Source organism: Homo sapiens, chromosome 2 (genome assembly GCF_000001405.40).
Source record: "Homo sapiens chromosome 2, GRCh38.p14 Primary Assembly".
Taxonomy (NCBI): domain Eukaryota; kingdom Metazoa; phylum Chordata; class Mammalia; order Primates; family Hominidae; genus Homo; species Homo sapiens.
In genome coordinates, this window is record NC_000002.12 from 42765797 (window position 1) to 42792948 (window position 27152).

General features: G+C 49.4%; 1 protein-coding gene across 3 annotated transcripts, besides 2 other annotated features; it reads right to left on the reverse strand.

Annotated features, from left to right (window-relative positions):
* Positions 1-1292: 1292 nt before the first annotated feature.
* HAAO (3-hydroxyanthranilate 3,4-dioxygenase) lies at positions 1293-26787 on the reverse strand. Of its 3 annotated transcripts, XM_011532730.4 has the most exons (11): positions 26661-26787; positions 23212-23370; positions 22733-22811; positions 17988-18071; positions 17518-17624; positions 4697-4786; positions 4347-4390; positions 3917-4062; positions 2064-2132; positions 1799-1881; positions 1293-1719 (listed from the first exon to the last, which is right to left on the reverse strand). In XM_011532730.4, the coding sequence occupies exons 3-11, from the start codon at positions 22787-22789 to the stop codon at positions 1641-1643; spliced, it is 759 nt and encodes a 252-aa protein (XP_011531032.1). In that variant the 5' UTR covers positions 22790-22811; positions 23212-23370; positions 26661-26787; the 3' UTR covers positions 1293-1640. The 3 variants fall into 3 exon arrangements, with proteins under 3 accessions (XP_011531032.1, NP_036337.2, XP_011531031.1); NM_012205.3 differs by lacking the exon at positions 23212-23370; XM_011532729.4 differs by lacking the exons at positions 4697-4786; positions 23212-23370.
* Positions 1622-2527: an enhancer, noted in NCBI's record as "H3K4me1 hESC enhancer chr2:42994558-42995463 (GRCh37/hg19 assembly coordinates)". NCBI's record gives its function as "activates a minimal SCP1, AML or CMV promoter by ChIP-STARR-seq in naive H9 embryonic stem cells {active_cell/tissue: H9 hESC(naive)}" and the evidence as "EXISTENCE:reporter gene assay evidence [ECO:0000049][PMID:30033119]".
* Positions 26634-27073: a silencer, noted in NCBI's record as "silent region_11411". NCBI's record gives its function as "represses an Ori minimal core promoter by ATAC-STARR-seq in GM12878 lymphoblastoid cells {active_cell/tissue: GM12878}" and the evidence as "EXISTENCE:reporter gene assay evidence [ECO:0000049][PMID:35858748]".

Below are 27152 nucleotides of genomic sequence, written 5' to 3' on the forward strand. Positions count from 1 at the left end.
AGAGTAAACTCTTCTCTTCACGGCCATCGGTATTCTGACCTGGGTCCTCCCTGGAACATTCTATGTCTTCTTCTCAGGTCCTGCACGGAGCAGTGCATTGCTACAGGCCAGGAACGAGCCGCGTGGAGCCTCTGCCTGTGCCTATCCTGGACCATTTGTGTTTGAAGGAGCCTGATGGTGTTTTTTCTTTGCTTGCAGGAGAGGAAAGCCCTTAGGGGTGACGAGGAGGTTGAAGGTCCCGATGTCTCTTAGGGCCAGTAGCCTTTTCAGCAAAGGCAGGTCTTTCTCTGCTCCCAGTGGAGTGTAGGAAGGCAGTGAGCCACTGGGCTGGGGATGAGGGAGACAGGGGTCAAGTGTTCTTTTCTAGAGGAAGCTTTGAGTCCACGCAGGGACCTGTTCTGTCCAGATCTGTCACTCTCATGTGCATGCCCTCATTGACTTCTCACGGAAGTCCCAGGAAACTGAGCTGCGCCCGCTGCAGGTTCCACATTCTTGTCTCTTCCCACTGGTGCCTCTGAGGCCTCCAGCATCCCTAGACACCCATAGCAGGCTCAGGGGTCCCTCTGGAGTCTTTGAACAGGGCACCTGTGCATGACAGGGGAGGGAAGGGGACACAAGGCCAGACACCCCCACCAACACTGCTGAGCTCCTGGTACAACTTCATGCCCCTCTCCAGGCTGATCATAGTCTTTAGGTATTAACAGTGGTTAGCTCTGGGTGGGGGATTTTGTGTATTTCTGGGTTTTCTATAGTTAGCACAGATGACTTCTGTTATTGGAAAAAAACTCAACAGATGCTAGTGTTTTAAAGTTATGTAAAAAGACAGACTGGGCAACATGGTGAAATCCCCATCTCTACAAAAAAGAAAAAAAAAATTAACAGGGTGTGGTGGTGCATGCCTGTAGTCCCAGCTACTCAGAAGGCTGAGGTGGGAGAATCACTTGAGCCAGGAGGGTCAAGGCTGCAGTGAGCTCTGATCACACCACTGCACTCCAGCCTTGGTGACAGTGAGATCCTGTTTCAAAAAAAAAAAAAAAGTAAAAAGAATAAATGAGAACAGAGAAGGAAGTGGAGAGATGACATTAGCCGTGCTCCCAGGACCAGGCATGGAGCATGCGTGGATCAAGTCACACACACAGTGAAGAATGCCCATCCACAAACAGGGATGCCCAATAACAGACCCTCCAACACGTCCATGGTCACCTGGTGCCCTGATGCCCCAGACACACCACATGGTCCTGGGGGGCACATGGGAAGGCCAGTGATGACTGCCTGCGGCAGACCCCCAGGTGTGCGTTCCTCAGGAAGCCTTTATTGAGGGCCTTCTTGGTGTGGAAGTGCTGCACTGAGTCTGCAGGGACAGAGGAATGGGCAGGAGCGGGGCCGGGGGTAGACCACCTGGCAAGACTGGCAAGGCAGTGGGCTGAGTCTGCCAGAGAAGATGGGGAGCTGCTGCCCGCCCAGGGGCATGGCATCTGGGCTGAGAAGGGCAGGAGGGTGGGTGACAACAATGTGCAGGTCTGTGGGGGACACAGCGGCAGTACACAGAGAGGTAGTGGGGGCTGGGAGAGTTGTTTGGCAGGGATGGCACTCGAGGGTGCTTGGCACACCTGTGGCTGCTTCAGGCCATGGCAAGAGGGTCACCCCAGGGGCTTCTTGCAGGCAGGGTCCTGGGTCACAGACAGGGCCACAGAGCCTTGTGTTCGCTCCCAGGCATACCTGTGGACACACAGATGAGCAGGGATCACACAGAGTTGGACCCTGAGGATCCCAGGGAAAGCCCTCCCTGCGTACTCACGAGGTCCCAGCTAGCACCAGGAGGCTGTCATCAGGGGCCAGGCTCAGGCGCCGTCCCCCCATTGTCACCACCGAGGAGCCCTCCTGGAGAAGAGGAGCAGGAGAATCAAATGGAGACTGTTGGGCCTCATCACCTGGGTGAATGTCTGAGTCTGCCTGGGCCCCAAGGCCCCAAGAGTGGGCCCCGTGTGGGAGCCCAGGGCCGAGGAGCGGGCTGATGCCCTCTGGCAGGGGGTTCTGCAACCCTGTCCCTGGGCCCCACTTGCCAGCTGCCACAGCCACACGTCCACATTCTGTCTCAGGCCTTCGCTGCTGCCTTGCCCATAGGCGATCACCTGGTGGGAGGTGAAACAGAAACTTCTGGTGCTTCTTGCCCCACATGGGAGATGGTCTTGAACCTGGCCCCCAGACACCAGGCCTGCTTGGAGCAGGGTTGGGGCCCATGAAACAGCCCCATCACCATGTGCTGAGCAGAGACCAGGACTTGGAGAGGAGGGCTGCCTGGGCTGCAGGCCTCCCTGTGCCCGCCGCTGCAACAGGTATTTGGGATCACACATGCCTGCCTTTCACGTGCAGTGCACCCGTGGTCCCTCTGATGTGTGCTCATGCGAAGGCATGCTCACCAGGGCACATGAGGGACGCATTTCCATCAGCTTCCCAGAGGGTGCCACCTCCCTTTCTCTGAGAGAGGTTATGAGTCTGGCCTCAGGAGGAGGAGGGGACAAGGAAGGTGAGGCTGAGGGCTCTCTGACATGCACCAGCCTGGAAGCACACAGCTACTGTGCAGGGCCGTGCTGCTGATGCCCTGGAGAGGGTGCATATTCATTAATGTAAACTGAAGCAGGTAAGAGCAGGGTATTGCAGAGGTGGGGTGCAGGGCTGAGTGGTACTGCTGTGACATGTGCGCATGTTCTCGCAGCCCTGTGTAAGCTCAGGACGTCCCTGGTACCCAAGAGCAGCAGGCCAGGCCTCTACGGGAAGCCTGTGGCCATGAGCATCCCTGCACAGATTGACTCATTCAAAGCCCATGGGATGTGCCAGTGGCAAGCCGTAAAGCACAAGTGAACACAGGTCTCCCTGCACCACTCTTGCCCTCCCAGCCTTGTTCCCACACGTGGTACAGAAACACCACTCTGGCCTGTCACTCCCCTGCTTCAATACTTTGGTGGAGGGCTGTTGTCTTTAGGACAAGTCCTCCCACCTTGCCTAGCCCAGCAGACCTACCAGGACCTGGGCCCTGCCTGCTGCTCCACAGTCCACCAGTCACACTTGTACCCCCACCCCCAAGCCCCGCCTCTGGCCAACTTCGGCTGCTCCCAGTGCCAGGCTGTTTCAAGCCTGAAACAGCTCATGCTCATGCTTCTCCCTCACCTAGAATGCTCTCTCCACCTCCCTTTCTTTCTTTTACAAACTCCTACACTAGCTTTAAAATGCAATGTGCATGTCACCTCCTCCAGGAAGCCTTCCTTGACTTCCCTTTCAGAGTGGGTTCCTCCTTTATCCTTCTATAGCTTCCTATAGCTTTTCTATCTGATACTTTATCACATGATTGTGGCAATTGTTGATTAACTTGTCCATCTCTTTAACAAACTATACATTCTTTAAGGTAGCAACTCTATCCTACTCTCCCACTAAAGCCTGAAACATAACAGGCATTTAATAAATGTGGAATGAAAGAAAGTCAGCCTTGTTTGAATCCCTCTCTCCACCCAACCCTCACTCCCAAACAACTCTCTCCCTTTTGGCTTCCAAGGGTGTGACTGGCTGAAGGTTCAGGAATTCCTAGCGAGGGGAAAACTGCAGACCCTCAGGAAGCTGCCAGTGAGTGGGGGAACCTCCAACTCTGAAAGTGAATTCAGATCATAAAATTGCTTGGGACCATGTAGCCTCCACAGACTTCACTCGGAGCAGAGCCATCGCCTTCTGCGTCAGGGAGGGAGCACAAAGGCCTATGCTCATGTCTACAACCTCTGAAATGTGTGTGTGTGTGTGTGTGTGTGTGTGTGTGTGTGAGTGTGTGTGTGAAAGAGAGAGAGAGAGAGGCAGTGAGAGAGAGACTGGTTCCCATTTTCCAGGGCTGCTGTGGGAGGATGCCCCGGATGCCCCAGGACTACATTACCTGGGTCTCATAGGTGTCCCCAAACAGGCTGAGTGGTGTGCCTGCCTGCAGCTCCCTGTGGTGGCTGTCCAGCCAGGCATCCAGGGACATGGGCTCCATGATGGATCGTGTGCTCAGAGGGAATGGTGGCTCCTTGAGCAGCTGGTCTGCACCCACAGCATGACTATAGTCGGTGTCCTCAGGACCCAGCCCACCCAGCCCCAGTGGGCCCAGTTCCCAGGGGCCCCAGGTCTCAATTGCCAGAACAGGCTCTGTATCCAGCTCAATGATCAAGCAGCCATGTGGGAGGTACCATTGGCTGCCATCTTCTTAGTACCTTGAGGACTGGGCAGAGTATTCAAAAAGAGACTCCCCGGTCCCCTGGACCAAAACCCATCCTATTTTGGAAGGGGAGGGAGGGAAGGAGAAGGGCAGTTCCCAGCGGCCTCACCAGGGATGGGCTTTCCTGTTCTGTACTGCTCAGAGCTGAAGAACCTGCAAGGACGAACAGGGAGGAGCAGGAGTGGCGAGCACTCCCATCGGAGTGGCCAGCGACACACACATACACCACACTCACGGTCAGGTGCAGGTGCCCACACACACTCATGGGGCTCTCACACAGCTGTGTGTCTGCCATCCTTTCCCTCCCAGCGGGGCTGCTGCTCCCCCCTCCCCCCGGCCTGGCAGTGGGCTCTCTGGGCCAGGATCTCCACCCTGGGAGGGGAGACTTTCTCCCAGGGCATCAGGTGCTGATGCAGAGCCCCAGGAAAGCAAGAGGCAGGGGCTGGGCTGGGGGCTCACTCCTGGATGATGGGGGCCAACTGCGTGCCGAGGTCCTTGCAGTAGAACCACTTCTCAAACAGAACGTCCATGGTGTCGCCCACATAGTACCTGCCAGAGCAGAGGACAGGCAACCCTGCTGTCCCCATCTGGGTGGCTTCAGGGCAGCCCCACTCAGGCCTGGCTCTGCTTGTAGAAGTCCCTGCAGAGCCCTGCTGTCTGCTCACCCCTGTTACACACCCTAGTGGTCACTGGTCACTTAACACCTTGCTCTTCAGAAGCACACGTGCGCCCCCTGAGAGGGCTACTATCCCGAGAATTCACACGGCTCTCTCCGGTTCCCAAAACTAGACCCAAACTGGTTCCCAAAACTAGACAAAGCAGATAGAACTCTGAGACTCACAGAAGCTGAGCAATTTGCCAAGGATTACACAGCCTGTAAGTGGCGGAAGCAGGCCAGTCTCAAGACAATCTTAAAAACTTAGAGAGCATCTAATCGCAGTTCTTTTGTTTTTCGCAAAGAGGAAGCTGAGGCTGAGCCTGAAACCAGGGCCAGTGGCTGGACGCTCTGCTGGCCTGCAGTGCTCTAGGCCTGAGTGCACGGACACTTAAGAAACCAACATGGCCGGGCGCAGTGGCTCACGCCTGTAATCCCAGCACTTTGGGAGGCTGAGACGGGTAGATTACTTGAGGTCAGGAGTTCAAGACCAGCCTGGCCAACATGGTGAAACCCTGTCTCTACTAAAAATAATAATAATAATAAATAAATACAAAAAATAGCCAGGCATAACAAAAGATAGAAAAAAAATAGCCAGGCATGCTGGCAGGGGACTGTAATCCCAGCTACTTGGGAGGCCGAGGCAGGAGAATTGCTTGAACCGGGAAGCGGAGGTTGCAGTGAGCCAAGATTGCACCGCCGCATTCCAGCCTGGGTGACAGAACAAGACTCTGTCTCAAAAGTAAATAAATAAGTAAAAAAAAAAAAAAAAAGAAGCCAACACGCAGAAGATGTCCCCCAGTTTAGGGGTTCTTCTTCTTTCAGGGTCATGATTGCCTTTGAGAGTTGGAGCAAAGTTTTGGACCTCTTTTCTGGGGTAAGGCCCATGTACATGTACATATAGCCTTCAGTAGACCCCTAAAGCCCACCCCAGCCCCCAGCCTGGCTCAGTGAGCTCCTCCCCCGGCCTGAGGAGCACCTGGCAGGCTGGGATGGGCCCCAGGCCCCTGTGGGTGCTGCACATGGTGGGTGCCAGGAACGCCTGTTAACTGAATGCCTAATGCCCAAGCCCAGCTCCTGGGCCCAGGCCAGCTCTGTCTGCTCTTAAAAGAGATGTGGTCCCGCTGGTGGGAGATGCTTTACAGACACACAGTGCATCCACCCACTTGGCAGCCTAAATCCTATCCTGGGATGGAGCTGGCCACCAGAAAGCTTCATAACTGGATGGCAGTGCCCTCCGGGAACTGCCTTTGGAGTGGCATTTTAATGTTGAGTCCCTGGCTTTTATTAAAGGTCAAAAGCAGCCAGATGAAATGTGTTATTGAATTTGCTGTAAAATGATATTGAGGACACCATCCTCTCCATCAGACTCACTATATTAAAGTCCCTTGTGACAAATTTTTTCTAGAAGATAAGACCACGTGTCTGTCTCTACAACAGACTGTTACACAGTAAATGATTATGCAGCCATTGTGTTTTTTGAAAAGATTTAATAGTGTAAGAAATACTCGGCCGAATGTGGTGGCTCACAACTGTAATCCCAGCACTTTGGGAGGCCGAGGTGGGTGGATCACCTGAGGTTGGCAGTTCGAGACCAGCCTGGCCAACATGGTGAAACCTCGTCTCTACTAAAAATACAAAAATTAGCCAGACATGGTGGTGCATGTCTGTAATCCCAGCTACTCAGGAGGCTGAGGCAGGAGGATTGCTTGAACCCGGGAGGCAGAGGTTGCAGTGAGCCGAGATTGTACCACTGCACTCCAGCCTGGGTGACAGAGCAAGACTCCATCTCAAAAAAAAAAAAAAAGAATACTCATGAGTTTCTTTTAAGTAAAAAAAGATATAGGTAAGCATAGAAATAAGACAAGATGGAAGTTTAGGTTTCATTAGGTTTCATTGGTGACAGGACAATTTTTTTTGTTTTCCCTTTTTTATTATTTTGTTTTCTTGAGATATAATTCACATACCATCAAATTTATCCTTTTAGTAACAAGTAATTTTAATTTTGTTCACTTTGCATTCCTGTACTTTTCCAGATTTTGAGAATGAATGTGTATGACTTTGATAATCAGAAAAACAACACGTATTTTAAAAATGCCTATTATAACAAAAGATGTAGGCCAAAGTATCCTGTTCCTGGTGACCTGATGGGAAACTTGAATTTTTTTTAGTTAAAAAATACAACAAATAATGATCACGCCACTGCATTCCAGCGTGGGTGATAGATAGAGTGAGCCCCCATATCAAAAAAAAAAAAAAAAAAAAACCCAACCAAACACTGTTGAGCTTTTGGAAAATCTATTTCCCTGAGCAATAGGTTGCTTCCTCCTTTCAGAGGAAAAGAATTGGGTGACTGATCAGAACCAAATGAGAACCCCGGCCATGGAATCAGAATGCTGACAGCGGGGCCTATTTTCTTCCCCTCTTTGGTGTTGACTCCCACTCCTCTCTATACTGTCCTGGCCCTAACTCCATATTTCTCTATAATGCCAGATCTAGCAAGTAACACTTTAGCAACTTTAACTTCTTTGTAATGATAACAGCACCTCCCCCATAGGATCGCTGGGAAGATTCAATGAATAAATACATGCAAAGACCTTAGCCAGGCATCTGGCACATAGCAAGTGCCATCCAGATGTCAGTGTGTGTTGTGGAATGAGCTGGGGTAGAGAAACAAGCCGAGGGAGGCACTGGCCGTGATTCTAAATTCTGGGGGGAAGCAGCAGTTCTGGCTGCACTGGGGGAGGTGGGTGTGACTTTGGAACCCCTCTGGCCCGCTTTCCACATCTCACCCCTCCCAGAAGACCTTGTGAAAGGAAAATATCTTGGGCCCCGAAATCACTAAATTAAGGGAAATGTCAAGCTGAGAACTGCTTAGGGCAAACCTACCCCCTATTTTTTTTTTTTTTTTTTTTTGAGACGGAGTCTCACTCTGTCACCCAGGCTGGAGCGCACTGGCGCGATCTTGGCTCACTGCAAGCTCTGTCTCCTGGGTTCATGCCATTCTCCTGCCCCAGCCTCCCAAGTAGCTGGGAATACAGGCGCCCGCCACCACGCCCGACTAATTTTTTGTATTTTTAGTAGAAATGGGGTTTCACCATGTTAGCCAGGATGGTCTCTCTCGATCTCCTGACCTCGTGATCCACCCGCCTCGGCCTCCCGAAGTGCTGGGATTACAAGCGTGTGCCACTGCGCCCGGCTACCTGCCCCCCATTGTATTCAAAGTGCCCCTCTGCTCACTGAGATAAATGCATATCTGATTGCCTCCTCTGGAGAGACTAATCGGAAACTCAAAAGAATGCAACCATTTGTCTCTTTTCTACCTATGACCTAGAAGCCCCCTCCCTGCTTTGAGTCATCCTGCTTTTGCTTTGAGTTGTCCTGCCTTTCCAGACTGAACCAATGTTCATCTTACATATGTTAATTGATGTCTCTTGTCCCCCTAAAATGTATAAAACCAAGCTGTGCTCTGACTCTCTTGGGCACACGTCAACAGGACCTCCTGAGGCTGTGTCACGAGCGTGCATCCTCAACCTTGGCAAAATAAACTTGCTAAATTAACTGAGACCTGTCTCAAATTTTTGGAGTTGACATTTTGATAACCACAGAGGCATTCTGAGTGGAGGTGCCCCTGACCTTAGACAAATCTCCTAAGGGTGCTTGGTACCCGCGTGAGCTAACTTTATGGCTCAAACCAATAGGACAATTTGCTGAGGTGTGGGAGCACCCCCTCTAGAGAATCCCTGATCTCCCCAAATTTGGTTGAGATCTAAAGTTTATTTTGCTGTACAACTCCCTTTTTTTTGGAGTTTTACTTGTTTCCAACAAGGAAGGCAAGTTTTCCTGCTTCCATGACAATGGAAGGCAGGTAACTCCTTTATGGAATTTGAGCTTGCATCCAATAGGGAAAAGGAGGTTTTTTTCCTGCTTCTAGGATGGTAGAGAGTTGTCTTGAGCCTGAGACCCATCCCTAGGTAAGTAGCTGAACTGGGGGTTTGTTTTGGCTAAAGTTAACAATCAGGTGCTCTTAATTTCTCCTTCCCATTAGAGCGCTCAGTGATCATAGAAGCTGCGCGATTGTTTGTTTTGCTTCACTGTTTGTTGTTGTTGTTGCTGTTTGTTTCTGTTTTGTTGTTGTTTCATTCTTTTTCCCATTGGGTTTGATCAGCTCTACCTGACTTGATAAAATCCTAAAGAAGTTCCAAATTATGGGAAACAAGGCCTCTAGAGTGGCTAAATTTCCCGTCCCTCCCCACCAACACACACACACACGAAAAGGGCCGGGCACAGTGGCTCACACCTGTAATCCCAGCACTTTGGGAGGCCGAGGTGGGCAGATCATGAAGTCAGGAGTTCCAGACTAGCCTGACCAACGTGGTGAAACCCCGTCTCTACTAAAAATACAAAAATTAGCTGGGCGCAGTGGCGCGCACCTGTAATTCCAGCTATTCAGGAGGCTGAGGCAGGAGAATTGCTTGAACCCAGGAGGCAGAGGTTGCAGTGAGCCGAGATTGCACCACTACACTTCAGCCTGGGTGACAGAGTAAGACTGTCATGGAAAAAAAAAAAAAAAAAAAAAAAGGTTGTCTGGTGGGGGGAGAAAAAAGGCCAGTAAAAGGAGAAAAGAAAGATGAAAGATTTTGTATTTTGACTGCTAAGGGGCTTGATTTACATAAACAAGGCCACTTTTGCTAGCCAGGCAAAACTGAAAGAGCAATGGCTGTACTTCTGAAACAGCAGCATTTTTTTCCAGCTGAAATACGGTAATGAGATTTAAAAAGATTTTTTTAAAGGAGCTCAATGGTTAAAAGTCAGCTTAATTAAAAGCTAACATCCAAGGGGTGTGTGTGTGTGTGTGTATTTAACTTTCATGTTTTTGTTTTTGTTTTTCTCCTAGGACCTTGTCTTTTTTTTTTGAGCAAAAGTTTTTTTCTTCTCAGTTGACTGAATTCTGTTTTCTTCATTTACTTCTGCTGTCTCTCCTTTCTCCTGCACCCTCTGCTGCATGAGGGACCTAAAATAGTTTATAGTAGCCTGGGGTTTCTTAAAGAAAATGAAGAAGGCACTAGACTCCTTTTGGGGGAGAAATCTGTTTTTCCTTGTGGAACCCCAAGAATGTAAAAAGATAAATGGTCTCAGCTGTTAAACTGCTTACTTTTATATTGTGTTATCCTTTTTTTTTTTTTTTTTTTACTAAAATAGTTATTGTAACTGAGGTTACTCTTACTCTTGAGTTTTTAAGGAAGAGTGTGGTTTTATCGCTTCTGGGCCTTTGGCTAAGATCAAATGTGGAAGAGTGTGGTTTAGATACTTAGAAATGTCTTTGTTTAAAAAAAACTTTTTTTAAAGTGCACTGTAAAAGCATCACGTGGTCTAAGCTCATAATAATTCTCCCTTTTTGGAGACCCAGGATTCGGTGTGGACTTTGCCCAGAGCTCAGAGATCTAGTTAAAAGATAGGTGGTCCCTATCTAAATAAAATTGGTATCCTTATACAATCCTGTGATAGATTTCTGTAATTTTATGTTTGACTTGGCATCCATCTTTTTTTTTTTTTTTTTTTTTTTTTGAGACAGAGTTTCACTCTTGTTGCCCAGGCTGGAATGCAATGGTATGATCTCGACTCACTGCAACCTCTGCCTCCTGGGTTCAAGAGATTCTCCTGCTCAGCTTCCCTAGTAGCTGAGATTACAGGTATGTGCCACCACACCTGGCTAATTTTGCATTTTTAGTAGAGATGGGGTTTCTCCACGTTGGTCACGCTGGTCTCAAACTCCTGACCTCAGATGATCCGCCTGCCTCTGCCTCCCAAAGTGCTGGGATTATAGGCATGAGCCACCATGCCCAGCCAGCATCCATCTTTAATCTCCCTCTAGCACCATCCGACTTCTCTCTGTACCTTATGATGGAAATTTTGTTATTTGATTTTTCACCTGAGTTGTTTCCTTTTTTTTTTTTTTTTTGAGATGGAGTCTCACTCTGTCACTCAGGCTGGAGTGCAGTGGCGTGATCTTGGCTCACTGCAACTTCCGCCTCTTGGGTTCAAGCAATTCTCTGCCTCAGCCTCCTGAATAGCTGGGATTGCAGGCGCCTGCCACCACGCCCAGCTAATTTTTTTGTATTTTTAGTAGAGACGGGGTTTCACTATCTTGGCCAGGTGGCTATTGAACTCCTGACCTCATGATCCGCCTACCTCAGCCTCCCAAAGTGCTGGGATTACAGGCCTGAGCCACCGTGTCCGGCGAGTTGTTTCCTTTAATATGCAACTTTAAGGCTATTTAGCTGACAACTGCCTGTGGTTGTAAAACAGGTTATCAAGAATCTGAAAGTCTGACCGGGCATGGTGGCTCACACCTGTAATCCCAGCACTTTGGGAGGCCGAGGTGGGTTGATCACCTGAGATCAGGGGTTTGAGACCAGCCTGGCCAACATGGTGAAATCCTGTCTCTACTAAAAATACAAAAAATTAGCTGGGTGTGGTTGTGGGCGCCTGCAATCCCAGCTACTTGGGAGGCTGAGGCAGGAGGATCGCTTGAACCTGAGAGGCAGAAGTCGCAGTGAGCCAAGATTGTGCCACTGCACTCCAGCTCAGGTGACAGAGCAAGACTCTTATCGCAAAAAAAAAAAAAAAAAAAAGAAGAAAGAAAAGAAGAAAAAGAATGTGAAAGTCTAAGATAGGAAAAAAAAGTTGCTATGAATCTATAAGATGCACTTCTATTAGCATGCCTAAGACGTCTATCTATGTGTTGTGTACACAATGTTTCACTGCTGAAAATATAAAAAGGGGCTCTAATTAACTAAACTAAGTGCCTCTCAAAGTTAGTTCAGCCTATGAACAAGGAGAGCTTGGAGGTTAGAAGCAAGATGGAATCAGTTAGGTCAAATCATTTTCACTGTCTCAGTTATAATTTTGCAATGGTGGTTCCATAACTTTAAATAATGACAATCACAATTTTTAGAAATAATCTAAGTAAATGATTAAAATAATTATGTAAATGCAATAGGATAAATACTTGTAGACAAACTTGTCATAATTTAGAATCTAAAGTTAAATTAAATAATAGATATTTCATTATTTGGGTACTTTCCAATAAAAATATATTTGTAGGAAAACATTCTTTCTAAAAAAAAAGGTGTGTCCTTTTAAAAAAAGTGAACCATTTTATCTAATTTAAGGCTTATTTAAAGGTCATGTATAAAACAAGGTAAAAGGAAGCAGGAAATAAAAGACATGTAAAGAAAGTCATAAAAACAAAGAGGTTTTTTGTGGTAAGAAAGCTTAAAGAGACATAATTTCATATGAGAAAGACTCTTGTATGGTAAATTTAGTTGTAGAGTAAAATGACTGGTTGTTGAAGAAGGAGGGATGTTCAGGACAAACCAGAAAGTCTAAGCATAGCATGAATGGTCTGTGTAAGTCACAATAAGAGGATTTATTTAAAAAAAAAACCCAAAAACTTTTATATGATCAAGTTATCACATTATTATTAAGTTTTCGGTTGCTTAGGAAAAAAACTGAGATTAAATTTTTTCAAAAGTTAAGGTTATTACATCTGTGTATCTCTCTGTATGTGCTTTTAATGTCCTTGTGACATTAAGTTACAGGGCTTTGACTCCTGGGTCTAAAAAGGACACCAGGTCCTGCTAATTTTTTTTTTTGACATGGAGTCTTGCACTGTTGCCTGGGCTGGAGCACAGTGGCATGATCTTGGCTCACTGCAACCCTCCACCTCCCAGGTTCAAACAATTCTTCTGCCTCAGCCTCCTGAGTAGCTGGGATTACAGGTGCCTGTCACCATGCCCAGCTAATTTTTTGTATTTTTAGTAGAGATGAGGTTTCACCATGTTGGCCAGGCTGGTCTGAAACTCTGACCTCATGATTTGCCTGTCTCGGCCTCCCAAAGTGCTGGAATTACAGGCGTGAGTCACTGTGCCTGACCAAGTCCTGCTAAACTTTAAACACTGACAGCAATTAAAGCCCCATCTTCAGGCCCAGTAGAAGATGCCAATCAAAATAAACTGCATTCCTGAAACACAGGGACAGAAATTAAAGCTCCTCAAGGCCCAGGGACTATCATGTAAGAGATGGGCATGGGAGACTGTAAGGACCAATTTTGAGAGATAAAATAAGTTCAGTTTCTCGCTGGGTGTGGTGGTGGCTCACGCCTCTAATTCCAGCACTTTGGGAGGCTGGGGTGGGTGGATCATGTAAGGTCAGGAGTTCGAGACCAGCTTGACTAACATGGTGAAACCTTGTCTCTACTAGAAATACAAAATTAGCCAGGCATGGTGGCACATGTCTGTAATCCCAGCTACTTGGGAGGCTGAGGCAGGAGAATCACCTGGACCCGGGAGGTGGAGATTGCAGTGAGCTGAGATCACACCATTGCACTCCAGCCTGCGCAACAAGAGCAAAATTCCATCTCAAATAAATAAATAAATAAGTTCAGTTTCTCTATAAATTAGTCATTAATGTCAAAGGTACACTGATGCAAGACCAGCATATGGGCCCCTGTGTCAGATTAAAAAGGTTTTATTGAAGCATTAACTGACTCCTAAATATAGGTTATGAAAGGTTTATGGAAATTATATCTTATGGTCAAGATATAATTTTGAAAACTATAGTTAATTGGGTTCATGCTATTTTTTTTTTTGAGACAGAGTCTCACTGTTGCCGAGTCTGGAGTGCAGTGGTGCGATCTTGGCTCATTGCAACCTCCGCCTCCCGGGTTCAAGCAGTTCTCCTGCCTCAGCCTCCTGAGTAGCTGGGATTACAGGTGCACACCACCACACCCAGCTAATTTTTGTATTTTTGGTAGAGGCGGGGTTTCACCATGTTGGTCAGGCTGGTCTTGAACTCTTGACCTCGTGATCCCCCCACCTCGGCCTTCCAAAGTGCTGGGATTTCAGGCGTGAGCCACCGCGCCCAGCTTCATGCTATTTTTATTAGAGCTTATTGTTTGGAACATTAAGTCTCTTCTCAAAGAATGAAGGTTTTCACCTTTTTTGAAATCCTTGAGTTATTACTTTGGTTAAATGAATGATCCTATATTGTGATATCAAGAGTTTTAAACCTTTGATATTTGACAAACTTTCCAAAATCAAATGATAAATTATGTCTTTTTCTGACCTAATTAATCTGTTAAGATATTGGGTTCCCTAAAGTCCCAAAATGACATAGTTTGGCTTACTTGGTATAAAAATTATACAGGAAGCATTGCCAAATATGAAATGGTGTTTGGTTTTCTTTAGGCTGTATTTGTATAAATATATTATTGGTATGTATTCCAAAATTATGGGAAACTCCTATAATCCTGATAAAACTTAGTGTACATCATCAGTAATAATCATAATTATATTAAATTATTGTGTGCCACAGAGGTAACAAATTTCCTTGCCAACTGCGTCTTTGACTATGGCTGCCTTAAAACTTTTTGTCATTCACAGAAAATTGTCCTGTTTTGGTTCTCTTTAGGAGGTGGCTTTATAATCAGCTCTAGAACACAGGTGTTCTTTTTTTTTAATTTTTTTTTTTTTTTAAGATGGAGTCTCGCTCTGTTGCCAGGCTGGAGTGCAGCGGTGCAATCTCGGCTCACTGCAACCTCCGCCTCCCAGGTTCAAGTGATTCTCCTGCCTCAGCCTCCTGAGTAGCTCAGAGTACAGGCACATGCCACCATGCCCAGCTAATTTTTGTACTTTTAGTAGAGATGGGGTTTCAACATGTTGGCCAGAATGGTCTCGATCTCTTGACCTCGTGATCCACCCGCCTCGGCTTCCCAAAGTGCTGGGATTACAGGCGTGAGCCACCGCGCCCGGCGAACACAGGTGTTCTTAAGTGCAGGTTTCTGATAACTTTGGAGATTGTGACATTAGAATAGAGAAGAAAAACTTTCAGGACTCTCATGGAGAGCTGAAATGTTCATGAGTATCAAGCAGAACAGGAGTAAACTAAGTAAACTGAACTCATAGAAGACTAAAGTAATCTTTTTTACTTTTGCTTTAAATGTTGCTGATCCTTTGTTTTATTTTGTTTTTTTTCAGAGTCAAGGAAACTTTTTTGTGTGTGCTATTGACAGCTTTTAACAATTTAATACTCCCGGCCGGGCGTGGTGGCTCATGCCTATAATCCCAGCACTTTGGGAGGCCAAGGCGGGTGGATTACGAGGTCAGGAGAGCGAGACCATCCTGGCTAACATGGTGAAACCCTGTCTCTACTAAAAATACAAAAAAAAAAAAAAAATTTGCTGGGCGTGGTGGCAGGCGCCTGTAGTCCCAGCTACTCAGGAGGCTGAGGCAGGAGAATGGTGTGAACCTGGGAGGCGGAGCTTGCAGTGAGCCGAGATCATGCCACTGCACTCCAGCCTGGGCGACAGAGCAAGACTCTGTCTCAAAAAAAAACACAACAATTTAGTATACTCCCATGAACAAAATTTGGAGCATATTTTTTTCTCTCTACCTGATTTCTCCAGAATTTGGAAGCTATTTGTGAGTATTCTTAACTTATGGCAATACAGTTATATGCATAAGTGCAATAAGAATCTGTTTTCATTTTGCAACAGGACACAATTGGAGAAACTGGTTATTTTATCAAGGATTTGACTGGAATGGTGTGCTTTCCTTTATTGGTTTATGGAGCCAATAAAAACCCTTTAGGGAAACTGGCCTCATATCTTCCCTGTATAGGGTTTCTGACCTTTGGTAAGTAAAGACCCTGTCTCTGACACGCCCAAAGGCCTCAAGTTTACCTTGGAACCTCAAGAAGATCACCCAACTCATAGGTATTCAATAGCACATATCCATGGCTAGGCTTGGCTTTAAAAAAAGGTCTTATCTGAGATTCCTTCTATGGAACAAAGTTCCATCAAAGCCAATTTAAAAGCCTATGTAAAAAATAATTATTCTTGGCCAGGTGTGGTGGCTCATGCCTGTAATCCTAGCACTTTGGAAGGCCGAGGCAGATGGGTCACCTGAGGTCAGGAGTTCGAGACTAGCCTGGCCAACATGGTGAAACCCAATTTCTACTAAAAATTCAAAAAATTAGCCGGGTGTGGTGGCGGGTGCCTGTAATCCCAACTACTCAAGAAGTTAAGGCAGGAGAATCACTTGAACCCAGGGGGCGGAGGTTGCAGTGAGCCGAGATCGTGCCATTGCACTCCAGCCTGGGCAACAAGAGTGAAACTTTGTCTCAAAAAAAAAAAAATTATTCTTGCTGCACTGTATACAAATAATTAGGCCAAGTATAATAAAGCAAATCAGTCTTACCATGATTTGTCTTTAGTAAAAAGGGGAAACTGGAGAGAGAAAAATTATGTTTTGAAAACTATAGTATACCTGATGTTAGATTCTAGTCTTGCCTAATGTTTTTCAATTTTTATTATTTTTCTGTGATTTGGACTGAATTCTAATTTTTCTTGACTACAAGTCTTCAAAATAATGTTTTCAATTTTTTTACTTCTTTTTTTGTTTGTTTTTCCTAACTTGGAGTCACTGAAAGCTGAGCTGTGCTTTCTTAAAGCCCTGAAAACTGAAGCCTGACAACTTAAACTTCAGAAGAAAATGTCAGCAACCAATTTACGTACCTAAGCCACTTTCATACTTGCCTACTGATGTGTGAACTTCAGAGTAATGTGGTCTATATCGATTTTCCAGGATTGCTCTTCTGTTGGTTGTTGTTTTTCTCCCTTCCTCCCCCTATTTTCTCTTTGTGAGACATGAGACTTCACAGCTTTCTAAAACTGAACTTCCCTAATAACTTGGGATCTACCCGTCTAGGAATAAACCATCCTAGCCATGAGACATCAGACAAAACCTGGGACCAGAGACTCAATTTCTTCTAAAATGCTTTCTCCAAAAGATTTTAAAAAAGAAAAGGGGGAAATGTGAAAGGAAAATATCTTGGGCCCCCAAAATCACTAGGCTAAAGGGAAAAATCAAGGTAGGAACTGCTTAGGGCAAGCCTGCCCCCCATTCGATGCAAAGTTACCCCTCTGCTCACTGGCATAAATGCATATCTGATTGCCTCCTTTGGAGAGGCTAATCAGAAACTCAAAAGAATGTAACCATTTGTCTCTTATCTACCTGTGACCTGGAAGCCCCCTTCCCACTTTGAGTCTTCCCACCTTTGCTTGGAGTTGTCTCACCTTTCCAGACAGAACCAATGTTTATCTTACATATATTGATCGGTGTCTCATGTCTCCCTAAAATGTATAAAGCCGAGCTGTGCTCTTACGACTTTGGGCACATGTCATCAGGACCTCCTGAGGCTGTGTCACGGGCACACGTCCTCAACCTTGGCAAAACAAACTTTTAAATTAACTGAGACCTGTCTCGAATTTTCAAGGTTCACAACCTCACGCAGAAAGCACAGATTCTGATTCCAGCCAAAGTTCATCAGGCTGAGTGAGCTTCCAGGGGGTCACAGAGAACAGAATCCACCCCACTCTACCCCTCCACCATCAGCCAACAAAGACAGGATCTCCACTGCCTCTGCTGTGAGGCCCTCCTGCCCACTCAGTGGCCAGGACGTGCTTTCTTGAGTCTATCTAGGATCCCTTCAGCTGCAGTTTGGAGCTGTGCTCCTCTGCTGTTTGCCCTTTCTCTGCCCCAGCCCTCCAGACAGAATTTACCTGAGCCCATCTAGCTCGGTCTCCAGCCGCCTTCGCTCAACCACCAGCCCCACGGTGTTGGCAAACCTCTGTGGTGAGTGGGGCACCCTGGCAGGCAGGAGGAATATCTGCAGTGGTAGAGATAAGGTGCACAGTGAGGCTGCAATCCCTCATGGAGACCTTAGCGCCCCCAACATCCTGGGCATCCCCAGCTGACCCCCGGGCAGCAAAGGGGTACTGCTTGTCTACCCTGGGCCCTCTTCTCTGCCCAGCCTCTACACCAGGGAACCAGAGGGAATGTTGGACCGTGCTGAGGATGGGGCAGCCTGGAAGAGGAAGGATGGGGAAGGGGCAGGTTGGCAGGGGAAGGTGTGGGAGAGCAGGAAAAGGTAGGGAGGACAAGACCTCAGCCAGGGCCAGGATGAGTGGACAGGGCGGATTCCAGCTGTGGCCGCCTTTCTCTTCCCCACCCTGCTGGGATCCGGCCTCACCTCTCCCTGCCGAATGACCACATCCCGGTGTTTCCCTTGCTCCAGGACTCGGAGAACCATGTCTCCCTCCAGCTGGTAAAATACCTGTGGGACAGGAGAGAGGCTTGGACCCTCCGCACTTTCTCTTCCAGGTCCTTGGCCACTGCCCAGGCCCTGAATTCTGACCGGGAAACCTGAGAAACTTTCTGAAGGCCTTGGAGTTGATGGGCAGCTCCGTCACTTCTGTCCTGAGGCCTGTCTCCCCGGTGCATGCCATGGAGTGCCGGGGACACATGGGATCATGTCTTGGACATGCAAGTGATGACCAGAGTACCCAGGATGCAACAGTGGTTGCCTGGCTGGCGGGCAGGAACTGGATGAAATGCTCACTGGGGAACTGAATGACCCAGCAGTCAGGTAGGGAACCCACCCATTTACTGGGTGCCAGGGGCTGTGCCAGGCACTTTTCCACCAGAAACCTTCACAGCAACCTCCAAAGGTATCATTAACCCCAATCAGCAGAAAACAAAGAAAGAAAAACAAGGCTCAGAGGGTAAAACAGCTGGCCTAAGGTCACATAGCTGGTTAGTCTCCAGCTGGAGCCGCAGCTTGGATCCAAGGCCGTATGTGGCTCTGGAGCCACTGGCCAGAGTGACACCTTGGCAAGGGGTGGGGCTGTGGAGGTTGCTGGCAGCCTGGGATGGGTTAGGGGCTGTGGGGGATGGGAGCATATGCCTCTTGTGCTCTCCTGGGGGTGGGGGGAGGTGGGGGGGGCGGGGGGGGGGGTTCCTACTGCATTTTTCCGATTCCATCCTAAGTCCCTAATTTACTGAGATCACCCCATGGAACTGGGAGGAAGAGGAGGAGGCAGACCGGTTTTCTCTCCACCAGTCACACATTGCCTGGGTGTTAAAAGCCCCAGCCAAATACTTGAAGGAATGTTATCAACAGCATCTACTAAGAGAAACCAAGCTGACCTCGAGGGACCTAGAGAGATGTGGCTCTGCAGTCTGCCACTAGGCACAAATAGTCACCACCCTTCTGAAGGGCAACTTGGCCATGGGCGTGAAGTGCCTTGGCAGTTCACACCCCTGGAGGGACTGTGGGGTTTATTGGGATGCAGGACCCTTAGTGCTAAAACTGGGAAAGTTCTAGGTGAATCCAGATAGCTGGTCACCACACAACCTTGACCTCAGTAATTCTACCTCAGGAATGAGACCTCAGTTCATCAGAGACATACCTGCCTAGTGGTGTACATTCAAGGCTGTTTTCAATGCAGTGCATAGTTAAAAGCCCTCAGCTCTGCCAGGGTGCTGTGTGCCCTTGGTCAATTCAGTTAGCCTTTCTGTACCTCAGTTTCCTCATCTACATAATGACAGTTATCTACTCAAAATGTAGCTGTGAAGATGCCAGGGATGCTTTACACATATGTGCTCAGCGCATAGTAAGCCCTCAGTAAGCCTCTAGCTATTAGTATTGATGATGGTAAGAATGACAAAAGTAATGCTAATATAATTATAGGAGAAATGTAAATATTTGATGGTAGATTCAAAATATGGAACATTATGCAGCCATTAAAAACTACGTTTTTGAATAGCTGTTAATAAAATGGGAAAATGGAAAATGCTAAAGTTACGTTAAAGATTCAAAACTATACCCAGCAGGGCTTTAGTTTGTAGCAATACAAATATAACAGAGGCAGCCTGTTCACAGCGGCCCTCTGCGTGGTGGGATTATGAATGAGGTAAGGATTTTTCTTTCTATATTTCTCATATTTTCTACAAGGAACAATGTTTACTTTCCTTATTAAAAAAAAACCCATAGGCCGGATGTGGAGGCTTATGCCTGTAATCCTAGCACTTTGGGAGATGGGAGGATCACTTGAGGCCAGGAGTGGAGACCATTCTGGGCAACATGGTGAGACCCCATCTCTACAAAAACTAGAAGAAATTAGCTGAGTATGGTGATGTGTGCCTGTAGTCCTAACTATCTGGGAGCCTGAGGTGGGAGGATCACTTGAGCCCCAGAAGTTGAGGCTGCACTGAGCTATGATTGCACCACTGTACTCCAGCCTGGGTGACAGAGTGAGACCCCCATCTCTAAAAAACAAAAACAAACACAAACATGAACAAACAAAAACCCCATAAGCATTATTTAATACAAATAATAAGAAACCTACCAGGTTCTCTTATAGGGAGCATTTCAGTATGCTCTCCTCCCCCACTCTCCAAGCTGGGAGGAAGCCTCTGTGTGTGTGTGTGTGTGTGTGTGTGTGTGTGTGTGTGTGTGTGTGTGTGTGTGTGTGTGTCTAGGGACCTTTCACAGTGAGGGAAGGGAGGAGGGACAAAGGAAAAGTTGGGAGAGGGGAGTCCGGAGTGACCCTCTGGGCCAGATTTAAACCCTTACTGCCTTACTGGGCAGGCTATACGATATTGTCTCTATTTTCTCGCTCTTGTCCCCTGCTCAGAGGTCTTCCCTGTGATGAGGGGCAGGCCTGGCCTGGGGCAGAGGTACAGATCACTGAACAGCAGAAAATCCTGAACAGCTGTGGGCAATCCTAAAGGAATTATGCTCAGTTTGGAAGTAAATGATGTTTGGGAGCCTGGGGCTGGCTAGAAGATTAACTGTACTGGCTCAGGCAGATAATGAATAGAATCTGGCTTTCTGACCTGGAAAGGCCTTTCAGGCAGTCCAGGCAGAAAGGGCGAGAGGTGTAGAGGAACAATGCATATCAAGCACCAACTCTGCACCAGGCTGTGTGCACATACTCTATGCACATTGAATTCTTCCACCAGACAGGGGCTGTTGTCCCCATGTGCTTATGGAAACAGGCTTGGAGAGGTGACATGATGTGCCCTGTCCAAGATCCCGGGGTTAGTAAGCGGCAGAGAATTCCCCCAATGCAAGTTCATCTGCCTCTGGCCCCCCTGCACCTGCACGCTCCAAGAAAGGAGTGAGGTAGGTGGAGTATAGGTGGTAGGTGGCGCTGGGGAGTGGGGAGCCGGGCCAGGGAGCTGGAGGTACCCTGACCGCTATTGCAGAGGCAGAGCTCAGTGAGGAGGAAAGTGTGGTTTGGTAAGAGGTGTGATTTGAACCCAGGTCTGAGCAACTCCCCTTTTCTCACTATTCAGGAGGAGCCCGGACCCTGAGTTACGCCACTTCCACAGCGCATCCTGGAGTCTCCCCAGGCTCCAGCTGGGTGAGGATAGGCAGGGACAGAGAGGAGGCCGACCCTCAGCCCTGAGGCTGCCCAAGTGCTGCACCACCCCGCCACCAAAACCTCAGCAGGGTGGGACCAAGCCCTGTCACAAGCCCACCTCCAGCCAGATTCCTCCCAGACACCTGGGCGTCCCTCCAGAGTGAGGACACCTGTGCTGGCCAGCTCTCCTTATCACTCAATCCCTCAGCTGCCATCTGAGTCAGGACGTGAGCTGCTGGCCAGGCCCCTCAGGGGACACTCAGGCACCTGAGCTTGGAGAAACCATGGGATGGGGCATGGAGCAGAGGCAGCAGGGGGCGAGAAGGGAAGCAAAGACAGAGGGAGACAGGAGAGGCGGGTGCTGAGACCAGGGCCAACAGAGAAGGCAGAAGCCTCTGGAAGACTCCGCAGCCAGCTGTGCCTCCCATGCCATAGCCATGCCAGGTCTACCCACCTCCTCAGTATAGTTTTAGATTTTCCTATTGACTTTTTCCACCAAGGAAACGGTCTCCAGTGAGGTGTGTTTGTGAGAAGGGGGTGGCCAGGGGAGGTGCAGGGCCCCTGGAGCGTGAGAGGTGAGGAGTTGGCTGGTTCTGCTGGCCCAGGGCCCATCGTTCCTCCACACAGCCTTGGGTGTCCCAGTGCACACATGAGGTGCTCAGCAAATATTTATTGAACAAGTGATTCTCCCATGCTCACCACAGTCCCTGGCTGTGGCCTGGATGCCCTCAGTGGGGACAGAGGCTGTTGATCAAGCTGGACTCTGGATCCTGAACCCCCAGAATGAGGCTCCCTGAGAGGATGGGGAGCCCCTCTACTGATCCTTTTCCACCAGAGGAGATTCTGTGTCTCTCCTTAAGGGGACACACCTTTCTCTTTAAATTTTGCTTTTGTTTATTTATTTTGGGGTAGGTAGTAGAGAAGCACAGTCCAAACTTCAAGGTGCAAAAGGTGATTCAAGGCAAATTCCCCCTCCCACCTGCCCCAGCCACAAGCCACGAATGGGTTTTGCAGCCTCTAGTTAAGGAAGGGCCACCCTGCCCCAACTCCTCCTTCAGCTCCAGGCACCTCCCTACCATGCCTACCCCTCAGCCACTAGCTCCTCCTCCCTCAGCCCCTCGAACTCCCTCTGCCACCCACTCAGCCCAGCCCTCACCCACGGTGTTTTTGCACTTTGCCCCCGTCTGCGGGGGAGGATCTCATTTTGGAGACCAATTGAATCTGTCAAGTTTGTGGGGAGGGGACCAGGACGTCCCCCTTCACATGGCCAGCCCCTATATCCAGGGGGAGGATGCCCCATGGCTAAAACCTCTCACCCGCAGGGCATGGGTTGTTTCCTGGGGCTCCCCCAGCAGAGGTGCTAGCTGTGGAGGCGTCACTGCCTGACCACCAGCTTGGAGGCAGCAGTCGTGCCCTGTGATTTCAGCTGTGCCCCCTCCACTCATCAGCCACATGTCCACCCCTCTCCAGTCCATCATCTCTGGGCCTCGAGTGGGAAGCGCCCCCTCCCGCTAGGGCCAGGCTCCTTGCCCGCAGGCCTAGATCCAGGGAGACCAGTCAAACCTACCTCTTCACCCTCTTCGATGTGATAGTCCTTCCTGGTGTTGGGGCCTCCGATGAACATGACTTTGAGCTGCTCCTGGTGCCTGCAATGCGCAAAGTGGGGGAGACGTTCTAAACCATCTCCTAGGAGTGAAGAGAGCACGGGTCCCGTGGGGGCCAGGAGGGAGCCTGAGGGCCCCTGGGAGAGGAGCAGGGCTGTTTTGGCCTCACTGTCCCTGTTCCCCAACTCTCATCCCCGGTTCATGCCTGCGTGCATCTAAGTGTCTATGTGTCTGGGATCGTGTCTGTGTGTCTGTCTGTCATTGTTTGTGTGTCCCCCCACATCGTCTGACCCAACAAGGGAAATGATGTGGTGGTGAATCTATGGCTTCATCAACCAGGATCACAGGATCAAGATCTCGAATTACAGGAGAGTAGCAAATTGAAGACCCCTTCCCAGGATGGGGCAGTGTAGGGGCAAAACGACCTTGACCTGCCACTCACCCATGCTGTCTGACTATAGGACCCTGCACTCTCCCCTGGCTGGAGGCATGGCTCAGTGGATGCAGGAGACCGTGACATCTAGCAGGGGCCTCAGGCGGTGTCAAGTCAGTGTGGCATGTGTTTATAAGCACAGGCCCTGGGGCATGTTACTAACCTTATCTGTAAAATAGAGGAACAGTTCTTACCTCACAGAGTTTAAACAGAATACATGAATTAATATTTGGAAGCTCTCAGAATGGTGCCTAGCATATAGTAAGCACTATTTAAGTATTTGATAAAATAAATAAACCCGGCCGGGCGTGGTGGCTCATGCCTGTAATCCCAGCACTTTGAGAGGCAGAGGCGGATGTATTGCTTGAGGCCACTAGCCTGGCCAACATGGTGAAACCCTGTCTCTACTAAAAATACAAAAATTAGCCAGGCCTGGTGGTGGGCACCTGTAATCCCAGCTACCTGGGAGGCTGAAGCACGAGAATCGCTTGAACCTGAGAGGTGAGGTTGCAGTGAGCTGAGATTGCGCTACTGCACTCCAGCCTGGGTAACAGGGGGAGACTCTGTCTTAAATAAATAAATAAATAAATAAACTCAATACAACCCTCTCATTTTACAGCCGATTTAGCCAGCCAAGAGAGGGTCACAAAGCCAGGGAATGACTGAACCTGAGCCAGGTCTCAGGCTCCTTGACTCCCACGCTGGCGTTGGGTCTGTGGGGCATCTAGTCAGCTGTTTGGAACAAAAGGGTTCCCAAACTCCTCAGTCTTTCTGCTGTTGGTGTGGTGTTACCTTTTTATGCAAAAAATACCTCAGCACCTCCTGAGAACAGCCTGCCCCATCCCCACAGCAGGGTCCCCTTTCAGGGTGCAGACACTGGGGTGAATAAGCAGCAGAATGTGTCTGTGTAGGGCTTCAGGGTGTTCTCAGGTGGCCCTGCCACAGAGGGCAGGGGCAAGGGCTTTCCTCTGGGAAGGGGAGGCGCTGGGTCTGGGACCATTTGTACACACAGGGCACAGCAGCCTAGAGGCTGCCTGCATGGATGACGATGGTGTGGATGGCAGGGGAGGGGCTATGGGGGAGGTCTGAGCCCCCAAACTAGACTGGCAGGTCCTTTCTGAGTGTCCTGTCCTGTGGGCTGCTTTCCAGCCCAGCTGGGAGGCATGGAGGCAAGACGGAAGAGCCAGTCTCTTTCCTTTTCCTTCCCTTTTGGGAGGCTGGGCCCAATAAACCGGAAACACACGTGTGGACCTGATGTTTGGAAAGGTGGATGAGGTTGCAGGGCAGGAGAAGGCTGTCATGAACAGTCCATGCTTAAAGAACTTAAAGCTGCATAGAGCTTCAAGGAGGGGAGGGAAGCCGCAAGGAACTTGACTGGGGAAGAGTGTGCACAGGAGAGCTGGGTGCAGAGGCTCTGAGATTAGAAGCACTGGGGGTGAGCTTGGGGAACGATTGAGAAGGCTGGTCCAGGAGGGTGGACCAGCCATGGAGTCTGGTCTTGGCCTAAGGGGTGCTGGGGAACCTGGAAAGTTTGTTTTTTTTTTTTTTTTTTCAGATAGAGTCTTGCTTGCCACCCAGGCTGGAATGCAGTGGCACAACTTCGGCTCAGTGCAGCCTCCACCTCCCGGGTTCAAGCAATTCTCCTGCCTCGGCCTCCTGAGTAGCTGGGACTACAGGCGCGTGCCACCACGCCCAGGTAATTTTTGTATTTTTAGCAGAGACGGGGTTTCACCATGTTGGCCAGTCTGGTCTTGAACTCCTGACCCCAAATGATCCACCCACCTCAGCCTCCCAAAGTGCTGGGATTACAGGCATGAGCCACTGCGCCCGGCTTGAAAGTTGTTTTTTAAAATCAACTTCACTGAGATGTAATTTAGGTACATACAGACAATTCTTAAACAACTCCACTCAAGAATTCTTTCAACCCATCAGTCAGAATGCATAAACCAGACCTGCCCCTCCTCTGCCCAGAACTCTTCAGCAGCTTCTCACCTTGCTTGCTTCAGCAGCTTCTCACCTTGCTGAATAGTAACCCCTCCTGTAAAATTTATATGTTGAAGTCCTAACGCCCAGTACTGCAGAATGTGACCTTATTTGGAATAGGGTCCTTGAGATGTAGTTAGGTTAGGATGAGGTCATCCTGGAGTAGGGTGAGCCCCTGATCCAATATGTCTGGTGTTCTTTTAAAAGAGGGAAATTTGGACACAGACACACACACAAGGAGACTGCCTTGTGAAGACGAAGGTGGAGGTGGGCGTGGTACAGCAGAAGCAAGAATACCAATGATGCCAGCAAACCACCAAATGCTAGGGAGAGGCCCGGGCAGATGGACGCGAGACCTCAGGGGGAGCGAAGGGAGGACTGAGAAGGAGCGACTGCAGATGGGGATGAAGTGTTGGAAGGAGGCAAAGATGATGCTACATCTTTAATTGGGGGTGGGCAACAACAGTGATAGAAGAGATCTTTGGGGAGATATTGACTGTTGGCCATGTGGTATTGCATGGTAACCAAGAGTGTGCGTGGACTCTGGAGTCGAACTGCTCCGTGGGTTGAGTCTGGAGCCTATCGCACAGGCGCTCCGTGACACTAGAAAAGTTACTTATGAAAATCCCCCCTCACGGTGCTACTGTGAGAATGAGATGAGATGATGTAAAAACACTTGGCATAGTCCTGGGCCTGCTGTTTGCCTTGAGGTGCCACCCTACTGACCATGTCCTGTGGACACAGCAAAAATGGGGAATGTAAACCTTGATCTAGCTGGCATGTGGGGCCCCGCCATGGAACTGGGGGGATGAGGGAGGTGACCATACCACAGGGGAGGGCCTGAGAGGTCTGCCTGAGAAAGATGGCAGCTGGATGGCCAACCCTGTTGGGTGCTGCAGGCAGAGGCTACTGGCAGAGGTGGCCTAGGGAGGGTCTGGTGTGGTGTGTGTGTGTGTGTGTTCGTGCACACCTGCATAGAGGGGCCCTGAAAAAAGCAAGACATCAAGATCTTCCCAAAGGAGCGGATTCTCTGCCTCCCCCTTTGCCTGTGGCTTCTGGGACAGGGTTGGGGTGTATGATTTGGCTGCCCCCAGGCCTACATTCTAGTGCATTTCTGCCTTGAAAACCACCCTCCCCACACTTTTGAGTTTTCCCAAAATGCACAGTGTCACTTGGGGTTGGAGAATTGTTTCTCAGCCCTGGAAGGAGAGGTGCACCCTGTCATGTCATCTCCTACAGCCTGAGAACCAGCTCAGCCTTCTTCAGAAGTCAAGGCCACAGTCACAAGAAAGAGGAACAGACCGATGTGGTGGAACCGGAACAGCCTGTCTCCATCTTCCCCCAAGAACCAAGAGATTAAAGCGGTCCTTCTGCAAGCTTCTGGGTCCAGGAACTCGGAGCTGGAAGGTGAGGGCGCAGATGGAGGAGGGGGAGGAGGCGAGGGCAGGGGGCGGCCATGGGGGTGCTGGACTCACATGAGCTTGTTGCAGACCGGGGGCTGGAAGGAGCCCCGGTTCTCCTTCACCCAGGCCCTCACTCCCAGGCGGCGCTCCATGACTGTCCCGGGCGCCTCCTCGCAGCGCTGTCCTCCCGCCGTCGGAGGCCCGCAGCTCCGCCCAGCCGCCTTTTTAACCAGAATCCCAAGCTCACGAGGCGGAGCAAACCCCCGCGACCCCGTGGTGGGGGCTTGGGGCCCGCGGACTTTGCCCCCTGGTGGACTTTGGTCTGAGCCCGCCGCCCTCCGCGCCACTCCAGGCCCTGGCGAGCGCGGCGGCGGCAGCGCTGGGGAACGGCGTCCCGCGCCCTCTGCTTCTCCGCGGGGCAGGGGCTCGGTCCCCGCCACCGTCTCCGGGGCGCCCCACACACTGGCGCCTGCGGTGGGGCCTGCTCCCGGCGGAGGACAAAGAATCCAGACCCTTCCTGGACGCTTGTCCCCAGACGTTCCTTCCCTCTACGCCCCGAGGGGA

Excerpts from the sequence above, each read along its gene's own strand:
- HAAO (NM_012205.3), bottom strand. The coding sequence starts at position 26,740 with ATGGAGCGCCGCCTGGGAGTGAGGGCCTGGGTGAAGGAGAACCGGGGC. Across the intron at positions 4,787-17,517 it reads ACCGAGCTAGATGGGCTCAG|GTACTATGTGGGCGACACCA; the intron begins GTAAATTCTGTC and ends CTGCTCTGGCAG. Across the intron at positions 2,133-3,916 it reads GGGACACCTATGAGACCCAG|GTGATCGCCTATGGGCAAGG; the intron begins GTAATGTAGTCC and ends ACCTCCCACCAG.